The sequence below is a fragment of the Homo sapiens genome, chromosome 14, assembly GCF_000001405.40.
Source record: "Homo sapiens chromosome 14, GRCh38.p14 Primary Assembly".
In the NCBI taxonomy this organism is placed as follows: Eukaryota; Metazoa; Chordata; class Mammalia; order Primates; family Hominidae; genus Homo; species Homo sapiens.
In genome coordinates this window covers 103,006,930-103,019,082 of record NC_000014.9, presented here as the reverse complement: position 1 = coordinate 103,019,082, position 12,153 = coordinate 103,006,930, and the positions used below count along the sequence as shown (strand labels likewise).

At 50.7% G+C, this 12,153-nt stretch overlaps 1 protein-coding gene across 8 annotated transcripts in view, besides 2 other annotated features; it reads left to right on the top strand.

Moving 5' to 3' along the window:
• CDC42BPB (CDC42 binding protein kinase beta) overlaps positions 1–12,153 on the top strand; it is a 125,170-nt gene that overhangs the window by 38,467 nt on the left and 74,550 nt on the right. For all 8 annotated transcript variants that reach the window (NM_001411054.1, NM_006035.4, XM_005268228.2 and 5 more), the window contains exons 2-3: positions 6,895–6,986; positions 10,528–10,611. In NM_001411054.1, the coding sequence (NP_001397983.1) occupies positions 6,895–6,986; positions 10,528–10,611 (176 nt within the window). The remainder of the gene's footprint in view (positions 1–6,894; positions 6,987–10,527; positions 10,612–12,153) is intronic.
• Positions 9,817–10,111: a silencer, noted in NCBI's record as "tiled region #6354; K562 Repressive non-DNase unmatched - State 7:EnhWF". NCBI's record gives its function as "represses a minimal TATA promoter and a strong SV40 promoter by Sharpr-MPRA in K562 cells {active_cell/tissue: K562}" and the evidence as "EXISTENCE:reporter gene assay evidence [ECO:0000049][PMID:27701403]".
• Positions 9,817–10,111: an enhancer, noted in NCBI's record as "tiled region #6354; HepG2 Activating non-DNase unmatched - State 15:Elon". NCBI's record gives its function as "activates a minimal TATA promoter and a strong SV40 promoter by Sharpr-MPRA in HepG2 cells {active_cell/tissue: HepG2}" and the evidence as "EXISTENCE:reporter gene assay evidence [ECO:0000049][PMID:27701403]".

The window sequence follows — 12,153 nt, the reverse complement described above, 5'->3', positions numbered from 1 at the left end:
GGTCCCAGCTACTGGGGAGGCCAAGGTGGGAAGATCCCCTGAGCCTGGGAAGTGGAGGCTGCAGTGAGCTGTGATCACTCCACTGCACTCCAGCCTGGTCGACAGAGCAAAACCCTGTCTCAAAAACAAACAAACCAAAAAACCGAATGGCCTGCATCCTCCCTGGAAGCTGTGTCTGTCTCTAGTTGCCTCACAACAGGCTGGTTCTCCCACTTCTCACGCCTCACCTCTCCCCATCCCCATGGAAGCTGGTGGTTTCGAAGTGATCACTTTTTGAAAATATAAAACAGCAGTAGGGTCCTGTAAGAAAAATCAATTTTTTGAGATGGTCTCTTCACGATTTCAGACTGTAGCACTAACTACGTGATGTAATTGGATTCCGTTGCCCCAGGCCCTACTCCCCTCCTCACCCCAACCTGCTGCTCTCCTGGCCTCTCCTGCTTTGGTGTGTAGCACCCCATTCATCAAGCTGCTGTGGCTAGAAACCTAGTGCACATCCTGGAATCTTCTTTGCTCATCCCATGCCACAATCCACTCTAGTTCCAACACTATCGATGCGACTTCCTCCTCTGTTCCAGGACCACTGTCCCATTCATTTCTAAGCCACCATTGTTATCTTAATGGGGCGGTGGTGGCTGTATCCAGTGGGCCCTCCCTCCTTGCCCCTCTAAGTTTTCCAAATAGCAACAAATGAACTTCTAAAAGTATTTTTAAAACATTTTTGAAATAGTTTGAAACTTCAGAAAAGTTGCAAATAACAGAAGAACTCTCCTCCCCCAGCTGTTTGCCATTGAATACTTTACCACAGGGATCCCCAACCCCCAGGCCACGGACAGCTCCATGGTCTGTTAGGAACCAGACTCCACGGCAGGAGATGAGTGAGCATTCCCACCTGAGCTCTACCTCCGGTCAGATCAGCGTGGCATTAGATTCTCATAGGAGCACGAACCCTATTGTGAACTGTGTATTTGAGGGATCTATGTTGCATGCTGCTTATGAGAGTCCAGTGCCTGATGATCCAGGGTGGGACAGTTTCATCCCAAAACCATCACCTCACCTCCTCCACCCCCCTACGGGTCTGTGGAAAAATTGTCTTCCATGAAAGTGGCCCCTGGTGCCAAAAAGGTTGGGACCACTGCTTTAGCATGTATTTCCTGCAGACAGGGATATTCTACATAACCACGGTGTAACCAACACAATCAGGAATGTAGCATTGATACATTGCTGTATCTAACCTTCAGATTCCACTGAAGCATTGCGGATTTTCTGGTACTCTGCTCTGTAGCAGAAGGAAGGGTTTGCTGCAGAGCCACACACACCATGACCTTGTTCCTTTCTGTGTGATCAGTTCTGTGTCTTTCCTTGACTTTCATGACCTCGACACTGCTGAAGGTTTCAGGCTGACAGTTTGGAGACTGTTCTTCAGTTTAGGTTTGCCTGGTGTTTCCCGGTGGTTGGATTTGGGTTGTGGATCTTTGCAGGAAAATCACAGAAGTGAGGCTATGGTTTCCCCCTCGTGTCCTGTGGGATGTGCGGTTGCGTCTCATCACGTAACTGATGCTGGCCGCTCTGATTGCTTGATTTCAGGTGATGTCTGCCTGACTTCACTGTAAAGTCACCATTTTCCCTGCGTAATTGATAGGTATTTTGTTTGGATGTACTTTGAAACTATATAAATATCCCATTTTTCATCAGATTTTTAAATTTTATATGTTAATATCAGTGTGGACTCCTGATTTCCTGGTGTTTTTTGTTTTTGTTTTGAGACAAGTTCTCACTGTTGTCCAGCCTGGAGTGCAGTGGTGCAAACACAGCTCACTGCAGCCTCCACCTCCCGGGCTCCAGCGATCTCTCGCCTCCACCTTGAGAGGAGCTAGAACCACAGGTGTGTGCCGCTACACCCTGGTTCATGATTTTATTTTTTGTAGAGATAGAGTCTTGTCATGTTGCCCAGGCTGGTCTTGAACTCCTGGGCTCAAGCAGTCCTCTTGCCTCAGCCTCCCAAAGTGCTGGGATTCCAGGCATGAGCCACCGCACCCAGCCCTGTTTTATTGAATAGATTATGATCTGTGACTGCTTGTGTTCATTTTGAGCACACTCTCACTTCTGGGCACCGGCTGCTGCAGGCTCACCTTGCGGTTTCCTGACCCAGCTCTGGAGCTGCCTGAGGAGCCCTGTCCTATGTTGGAGAATGGTCTTTAGAGACCATGGTCCACACTGGGTGTGCTTGTAGCTGAACTGCTGCTGCTTCCGGATACTCTTCGGTAGACAGAGCTAGGACTCTGTATGTTCACACCCATATATGGCTGTGTTTATCCCTGTATCTGTCTGTCTATATTGAAGCTGCAAGTTCATACCAATAACCCAATTCTATCCCAGTGTTGTACGGTTTATTCTCGTTTTCTTCCTTATCTATAACTCCTCACTTGGACAGTGAGGAACCCAGCCCCATCATCCTGAATGTTGCTTATCTGATCAGTCCTCCTGTAGGTAACAAGAGGACCACCCTCCCTCACCTGGTTCCCTCCCCTCACCTGGTTCCCTCCCCTCACCTGGTTCCCTCCCCTCACCTGGTTCCCTCCCCTCACCTGGTTCCCTCCCCTCACCTGCTTCACCGGCACTGATGTCCTCCTCACTCCACCCCACACCCCAGCCAATCCTGGGGAGCTCTGACCCCCCCACTCCCTGTTGAGCTCTGCCTGAAGCAGGTGCTGGAGGGAGACTACAAGGCTGGGAGGCGGGAGGACGACTTGCAGCTTCCTGCCCGCTCCCTCCTAGAGTGACACCCTAGCAGTACCATCCTGGCAGCGAAGTTCCTTCTGGCAGTCGGCCACTGGTGCCAGTTTGGAGTTTTCCCCACGCCAGCAGAACAGCCCTGCCACAGTCACCTCAGAGAGCCCAGCGTCAGCTGGCTGCACTCCTTCCAGTCACTGGGGACCCAGCCTGTGGGGCTGCCTTTGAGCTCAGAGACCCAGTGCCGGCCAGCAGCACCCCATCCTCAGGGGTCTGAGTTTCAGTTTTACAGGGCCCTTTGTCCAGGTTTCTAAGTTTTAAAAATTCCAGCCTCGGCCGGGCGCAGTGGCTCACGCCTGTAATCCCAGCACTTTGGGAGGTCGAGGTGGGCGGATCACGAGGTCAGGAGATCGAGACCATCCTGGGTAACATAGTGAAACCCTGTCTCTACTAAAAAAAAAAAAAATACAAAAATTAGCTGGGTGTGGTGGCACGTGCCTGTAATCCCGGCTACTCGGGAGGCTGAAGCAGGAGAATCGCTTGAACCCAGGAGGCGGAGGTTGCAGTGAGCTGAGATTGTTACTGCACTCCAGCCTGGCAACAAAGCTAGACTCTGTCTCAAATAAAAATTCCAGCCTCTTCTTTAATTTCCTGATCCTAATGGCAGAAGGTGCTTCCTGCATTTGCCACCTCCATGTGGTATTTCCATCTTAGTAACCTAGTTGGCAGTTATTCATGTTAAATGTTCTGTCCCCTGCTCTCAGTACCTGTGTGGTTAGCAGGGTGCTCTGCTACTGTGATGCGGCTTTCCTTTCTAGTTGTAGCTAATGCGGTCTTAATTATGTTTATTGTTTCTGTTTTTGAAATGGAGTTTTGCTCTTGTTGCCCAGGCTGGAGTGCAGTGGCGAGATCTTGGCTCACTGCAGCCTCTGCCTCCAGGGTTCAAGCGATTCTCCTGCCTCAGCCTCCTGAGTAGCTGGGATTACAGCCGCGTGTCACCATGCCCAGCCTAATTATTTTTATACACCAGTACAAAATTGTTAGTGTTCTCGGAGCAGTTTGAAAATATTTGGTATTTCTGAGAAATAATGTTTTTCTTAGGCTTTTCCTTCTGGGCCCTTTTCTCCTTTGCCCTCTGATTTGGGAACTTGCTCCTGCCTGCACACAGGTCCCCTGCTGCTTTGCTTTTGTGGTTTTGCCTCTCCAAGCCTTCACCCCAGGCTTGCCTCGAAGTTCCTCCCACTTCCAGCCTGGCCACCATCATCTGTGTCTGCCCGCTTTAGGGAAATGTGTACACAACTATTAAACTACGTAATTAACAAAATGTGTTTTATCAAAAGAGTAGGGGGAAACTTGACAAGGAAGCCCGGGTGACTTGAGAGTAATTAATGTGGAAAGAAAAGAGAGGACGTTCCGGGCACAGCCTTGGTGCGAACTGCTTCCTGCGTCTCATCTGTCTTTGTCTTCACTGTTTTTTGTTTTGTTTTGTTTTTCAGATAGAGTGTCACTCTGTCGCCCAGGCTGGAGTGCAGCTCAAGGGTTTTCTTCAGCCTGGCCTTTCTTTCTTTTTTAATAACTCAGGACTCATTTGTTCTGTTTCCTGATCTCTGCTGATGTGTATTTGCTGTGATGGGGGCCATTGTTCATAACTCACTGTCTCCCAGGCCCCTGGAACCTTCTGTGGCTCTTGCAGTTGTGGTGATCGAACCTCAGTGGTGTTGAGCAACTATTAAAGGAGAAAAAACCCACAGGATTAGTCAGATTAATAATATGGAACTCAGTCAGAAGCCCAGGAAGTGTCAGATCGCATGTGTTTTGGAGCTAATTGTAGCCACTCCTGCAGTGGTAAGAAATAGGACAGAGAGGGCCCTGTGCACTTCACTCAGTTCCCCCAGAGGCACCTTTCATAAAACTGTAGTGATAGATAATTTGAAAAAGAACCAGATAGAACAAAAAAAAACCTAGCATAAAACATGCAGATTTGGGCTTGAAGGTGAAAATAGAGACAGGTGCAAGAGAGACAATTGACTGCACGGATGCCAGACTGGCAGGATACATGGCGGGCACGAGCTGGTCTGGAGTCAGACAGTGTGGGCTCCAGTCCTGGCCTTGCCTTGTGCTCTGTGTTCCTGGGAAGAGTTGACCTGACCTCTCTCTAGGAGCTTTTTTTTTTTTTTTTTTTTTGAGACGGAGTCTCGCTGTGTCGCCCAGGCTAGAGTGCAGTGGCACGATCTCGGCTTACTGCAAGCTCCACCTCCCAGGTTCACGCCATTCTCCTGCCTCAGCCTCGCGAGTAACTGGGACCGCAGGCGCCCGCCACCACGCCCAGCTAAATTTTTTGTATTTTTAGTAGAGACAGGGTTTCACCGTGTTAGCCAGGATGGTCTTGATCTCCTGACCTCGTGATCCGCCCGCCTCGGCCTCCCAAAGTGCCGGGATTACAGGTGTGAGCCACTGCGCCTGGCCTCTAGGAGCTTCTTGTGGGGGATGTAACCAGTTGCCACAAAGTGGGGGGCTTAAACAACAGATATTTATCTCACAGCTCTGGAGGCCAGAAGTCCAGAGGCAGGGCGTCAGCCAGGCCATGTCCCTCGCAGGCTCCGGGGAACGCTCAGCTTCTGGGGGTGCTGGCAATGCTTGGCGCTCCTTGTGTGCGGCCGCATCACTCTCGCCTCTGCCTCCATCCCCACTTGGCTCTTTTTACCTCTGTCTGAGTCTGACTTCTCTCCTTTTAGAAGGACACCAGTCTTGTTGGACTTAGGGCCTACCCTATTCCAGCAGGTGCCATTATTTTCACTTGGTTACGTCTGTAAGGACCGTTTCCAAATGAGGTTACAGTCACAGGTTCTGAGCAGACATGAGTTTTGCTGGGGACACTATCCAGCCCAGTACAGTGCCCACAGAAACCTGGCTGAGTTTTCTCATCTGTGAAGTGTGGATAATAACAGAATTAGTCTCAGAGAGTCCGCGTGAGGAGGCCGGGAAGAGCAGTGTAAGGTGCCTGACTGGTGGACATTACTGTTACAGACGCCACAGGACCTATTCGGGACCGCCATGGGTGTCCAGGGAGACTCCAGCACTTGTGTTGCCTTGGAGAATGTCTTGTGTTCCCTGAGCTGCCCCGTGGCTCCTGCGTGCAGGCAGGTGGAGCTCAGCTCTCACTCACCTCACGCACTTGTGTCCTGTACGTGGGCTTTGGGCACCCATCAGTTGCTCTCTCGATAGGTGTTCACCTATTGGCTTTGACTAGGAGACTTTTGTGTGATGATGTTTGCTATGATAGATACTGAAGTATACTGTTGTGTGTTGCATAACGATGGGGATACCTCCTGAGAAATGCATGGTTAGGTGGTTTTTGTCATTGTGCGAACATGACAACAGCACGTCACAGACTCAGATGGCAAAACCTACTCCACACCTAGGCCATGTGGCACAACCTACTGCTCCTGGGTTACACACCTGTGCAGCGTGCGACAGTTCCGAACACTGTAGGCAGCTGTAGCACAGTGGTTTTTGTGTGTCTATTTTTATTTATTTATTTTTCTGAGATGGAGTCTTGCTTTGTTGCCCAGACTGGAGTGCAGTGGCACGATCTTGGCTCATTGTAACCTCCGGCGCCTAGGTTCAAACGATTCTCTTGTGTCAGCCTCCTGAGTAGCTGAGATTACAGTCACCCGCCACAACATCCGGCTAATTTTTGTATTTTTAGTAGAGACGAGATTTCACCATGTTGGTCTGACTGGTTTCGAACTCTTGACCTCAGGTGATCCTCCTGCCTCAGCCTCGTAAGGTGCTGGGATTACAGCCATGAGCCACCGCGCCTGGCCATATTTATGTATCTAAACATAGGAAAGATTTGGTAAAAATACAGTAGTATAAATCTTGTGGGATCACTGTTCTGTATGTGGTCCGTCGTCGGCTGCAACAGTGTTACCCAGTGCGTGGCTGCAACAGTGTTACCCAGTGCGTGGCTGCAGTTGCTCAGGATCCACATCTGTGTCCATTGGTATAAGTGCTCACTTTCCAAAACATGTCAGATATTAAATATTTTCAAACAAACTTTTTTAAAAGTATAACTTAGTGCAACACCCCACTCAATTAAATTTTTATATAGTATGAACTGATTAGACTAAATTGTTGGTTTTACTGTTTTACTTGTAGCTAAACCATTTACACAGCTGGTGAAAGAAATGCAGCTTCATCGAGAAGACTTTGAAATAATTAAAGTAATTGGAAGAGGTGCTTTTGGTGAGGTAAGATAAACTTCATTTTGTTAACTTTGCCTAAATTGCCAAAACATCAGCAGCTTCCATTTCACCTTTTTGTGCACCTATACATTGGTTTGGGGATGAGGTAATTAGTATTATTTGGAGAGTTTGTTTTTTCCTCTCTCTCTTTCTAAGATGAGGTCTCACCATGTTGCCCAGGCTGGCTTTGAACTCCTGGGCTCAAGTGATCTCCCCGCCTCGGCCTCCCAAGGAGCTGGGGAGAAAATCTGAAAGATAGAATGAAGAGAAAGGAGACTCGAAAGCTTCTGACTGACCTGGGAGATTGTTGGGACCAAAAATAGTTTCTTCAGATGTAGTTTTTTTTGTTTTTGTTTTTGAGATGGACGTCTTGCACTGTCACCCAGGCTGGAGTGCAGTGGCGCGATCTTGGCTAACGGCAACCTTTGCCTTCTGGGTTCAAGCTATCCTCATGCCTCAGCCTTCCGAGTAGCTGGGACTACAGGTGCTGACACTGTGCCTAGCTAATTTTTGTATTTTTTGTAGAGATGAGGTTTTGCCATGTTGGCCAGGCTGGTCTCAAACTCCTGGCCTCAAGTGATCCACCTGCCCAGATGCCCCGCCCAGCCTCCCAAAGTGCTGGGATTACAGGTGTGAGTCACCACGCCCAGCCTTCTGACGTAGTTTCTAAAACTCCATTTGTTAATTGAATTTTGACTTCTTGGCATTTTCTAAAAAACACAGAGAGGGTCGAATAGCAGCTGTTTTCATGCTCTGTACTTGCTTGCTGTTGACACACGCGGTGTGGCTCTGGGTCCGGTTGGCTTTGCCTAGGGGAGGAGGGCCAGTCATGCAGGTGCAGCTGGAGAGGCTCACCAGGTCCCTTGTATGGGGCTGGGAGCCCTGCCCCAGGAGGCCCGTGGCACGGTGTGGCCTCGCCTTCCAGGCCATCTCCACAGACCTGCCTCGGCCTTGCAGAACAGTTCTGCCAAGACCAAGGGAGAGGTCAGGCTCCCTCAGCGGCCGCGGTACCGCCTCGGGTGGTTTGACAGTGAGTCACCGGAAGAGCTTTGCTGCTGCTTTTTTTGTTTTTTGAGATGGAGTCTCGCTGTGTCACCCAGGCTGGAGTGCAGTGGTGCGATCTCCGCTCACTGCAAGCTCTGCCTCCTGGCTTCATGCCATTCTCCTGCCTCAGCCTCCCGAGTAGCTGGGACCACAGGTGCCCGCCACCAGGCCAGCTAATTTTTTGTATTTTTAGTAGAGATGGGGTTTCACCGTGTTAGCCAGGATGGTCTTGATCTCCTGACCTCGTGATCCGCCCATCTCAGCCTCCCAAAGTGCTGGGATTACAGGCGTGAGCCACCGCGCCTGGCCAAGTTTTGCTTCTTAAACTGTGCAGTGCCTTAGCACCTATGCTGAGGTTTGATCTAAGCTCTCCTTGGCTGGGGAACTGTGCCTTTTGGTTCACTGAGGAAAAATCAAACAAGGAAACGCCCTGTGTCACATCCCAGCAGCAGGTGTGCTCTGCCCACAGCAAACCTACTGGACACCACTACAAAGCGAGATGGCCTTTGCTGTGCAGGGCGTGCATTTTCCAGTGTGCAGACGTGAAAGAAGGCAAATCAGTACTTTAGGGAAATAGCCCCCCTCTCGCAGCACCATCCCCATGAGTGAGTCTCACCAGAGGGATAGGGGAGGAGAGCAGCCCCTGCAAGGCTCGTCCCATCGTGCCCGGAGCTCCCAGTTTATCTCAGTACAGACCCTGGATCCAGGCCTCACCAGCCAAAGTCAATTTACCACAGGCCAGGATGGGACAGAGAGTTTGTTTATTTTGTTTGAGATAGGGTCTTGCTCTGTCGCCCAGGCTGGAGTGTGCTGGCATGATCACAGCTCACTGCAGCCTCCACCACCCAGGCTCAGGTGACCCTTCTTCCTCAGCCTCCTGAGTAGTTGTGACTACAGGCATGTGCCACCACGCCCGGCTAATTTTTTTTATTATTTGTAGAAATGGGGTGTCACTATGTTGCCCAGACTGATCTTGAACTCCTGGGCTCAAGCAACCCTCCCGCCCCAGCCTCCCAAGTAGCTGGGACCACAGGCATGCACCACTGTACCTGGCTAGTTGTTTTCTTTTTTTCTTTTTAGTAGAGACAGGGATCTTGCTATGTTGCCCAGGCTAGTCTCAAACTCCTGGGCACAAGTGATTGTCCTGCCTCCACCTTCAAGAGTGCTGGGATTATAGGCATGAGCCACTGTACCTAGTTGAGAAAGCCTTTTAAAAGTAAAAACAGATTGCATTAAGTGATTGCCTGTCTGTCTGCTACCAAGCATTGAGCTGTGCCAGGCATGGGGGCTTTGGAGGTGAGCAGGGCCCAGGCCACACAGAGCCCTTCAGCCATGGCAGGACTTTCCAGAATGCATTTAGGAGGGAGGGAGAGGCACACCAGGGCAGAGAGACGACCAAGGGAAATGAAGGAATGAGAGAGAAAATTGTTTTAACAGAATGGTTTACGGTTATTTTTAGTACTCTTTTTTGCCAAAAACTTAATGCAAAACTCAGTTTTGTGTGAGTTTCAAAGAAGATAACATTGATCGCTTTTTGAGCTCCTCTGATTGAAGGGAGCCTGTCCTTTCCATGCGGCCTTTGCTTCTTGGATTCCCTCCTTGGTCTTGTTCCCTTGGAGCCTCAGAGTCCATATCTGTACAAGATGGATTTTAGAAATCCCCCGCAGCTGGGGTCGCTGTGAGGGTGAAGTGGGGGTGCGGATGCGCGGCTCAACACCGTCTCTGGCACGCAGAATGTGCCTGGTGAATGGCAGCTCTCACAGTGACTCTACGATGTGACTGTGTGGTATTTGATGTTAGAAACAGGCAGGTAGATGATACTGCCATTTAAGACCTCTTCAGGCCATGGCTGCTGCAGGCACGGGGACATGCTGGCTGCTTGCCATTGGCAGCCAGAAGGTATGGAAGCCGCTGTCACTGCCAGTGAGTAGCTTACAGGAAGTGCTGAGTTGGAGACTTGGGCCCGTGTGTGAGTGACTTACGTAGGGTGGAATGCACCAGACAATGGTGCAGACATCTTGACGGGTGTTGGTAGTGATGGCAGAGCTTATTCAAGATTTGGTAGAAACTGGAAAGTCCAAGAGGACTTCCTGAAGGAGGTGGCACTTGAATTGTTCTTTAAAGAATGTGGCTGGTGGCCGCGCGCTGAGTGCTGACTGTGCCCCACAGTGTGCTGGGCACATTAACTGTCAGTGCTCATGGGTCCTCATAGGTGTCTCAGGAGTCCGGTCCTGCCATTAACCTCCTGTAGTGGTGGAACCCGAGCCATAAAGGGGTGAATTTGCAGGAGTGAAACTCCGGAGCCCACGTGGCCGGTCCCTTTCTCTGTGAAGAAAAGGTTCTTGATGCAGGAACTGGCACATGCTAGGTGGGAAACTTGGCTTTCGGTCACTGCTGGTTTCACAGGCTCCTGGGCTGTTAGGATTTCACTACAGTTTAGCTCCAGCGTGCTAGCCTTTTGTTCAAGAACCGCATCTTTGTTCAACTCACATTTGCACTGCAGGTTGCTGTTGTCAAAATGAAGAATACTGAACGAATTTATGCAATGAAAATCCTCAACAAGTGGGAGATGCTGAAAAGAGCAGAGGTAAGTATGGAGCTTGAAAAGCCATACAAATGGGGCTTGGGGTGAGCAGAAAGTGACTGTGAAGCCAGCTGGGGAAAAGCTGCAGCCACCCCACAGCCCTGGGCCTCCCTGCCCCCCGGACAGAGCGAGCACTCTCTTTTGAGGAGGTCTCAGTCTCCTCCCTGGCGCCTGCTGCTCCCCGCCTCAGCGACCACTTGCTTGCTGGACACTGTTCCTGAGAGTGCACCCTCGAGAATGTTGGCGGGTCCTGTTTACTGTAAAGGCAAATAAAAAGCATCGGGAGAGTTTCAGCATTGATTGCAGTTCTGCTCCATACACAAAAGGAATTAACACGTTTGGACCCTGCTCACATACAGAATAGGTCTTTAGATTCCCACCTAGAGGATCCTCACGATTAGAAATGAAGTGGACCACTGCCCAGCAGGCTTTGATCAGCTCCTTTTTCTTAGTTCCGTGTCAGTCTTCTTGGTGGCCATTCCATGCCTCTGACCCCACCTCTACAGCCGCGTGCTCTGCCATTGGTCTCCCTCCTGCCTGCCTAAGGCAGGCCAGGCCTGCTGGGGAGCCCACGCTTTTCCTCTCTGGCCATCTTGAGTTTCTGTCCTCACCCGCCCTGTTGTCTTCCCCTCCCCTGCACTCAGAGCCCAGGCCCTTCCTGGCCAGTTGACCTGCTTCCTGCTTCAGATCTGCTCCGTCCATCATGCTCCATCCTCTCCCGTGACTCCCGCCTCTGCCAGAAGGCACTTGGCAGTCCCCTCCTTGCAGGCTGCCATTCATCACAATGGTTTGCTGTGGCCCCGTGTGTCTCTGACCCGCCCTGAGCGAGGCCTGTGCCTGGCAGCGCTGCGGTGGCTCTAGGCTGCTCAGCCCTGCGGTCAGCGCTTGCTTCTGGAGTTGAACCTCTCGACGTGGCCACCTCCTCATTTTGGGAAGTCCTTCTTGGGTTTCTAGACCCTCTCCTCTTACTCCTCTCACCCTTCTAGTAATTTGAGGTGACGCTTTCCTCTTTGGTCCTGGAATTTGTGCCTGTGCTGCCCATGATGGTTGCCACCTTGGGCCGACAACAGTACAACCATCGATTCGGGCCAGATCTCTCTGGGGCCCTGGGTTTTATTAACTTGGTGGGTGTTATCGGTTCCTCGTGACTCAGTCATTCTGGCTTTTCCCTCCCCCGCTCTGCACCCATTTCCCCTTTCCCTGCTATGGCACCCAGCACAAGGTCTCACAACCATTTGTTGCTCACTGAACGCGTGTTGGTTGACAGAGTTAGCACCATTTTGTAGTTACCCTGGTCTCAAAATGTCGGTGGCCTGTGATTGCTTCGGCCCCCTGGGTCTCCCAGCTTCTGGGGTGTACACGGTCTCCCTTCCTTCTTTGGGAGAAGCCTTTGCTCTCTTTTCCTCCATCTTCACTCAGTCATCTCACTGTGTGCTTCCGCTGGGCCTGCCCTCAGCCCCAGCAGCCCTTTCCCCGCCCCAAACAGTGGCAAACACAGGAATGTTATTGGAGCAAATTTTTAGGGGAAAAAGTAGCTACTGTTAC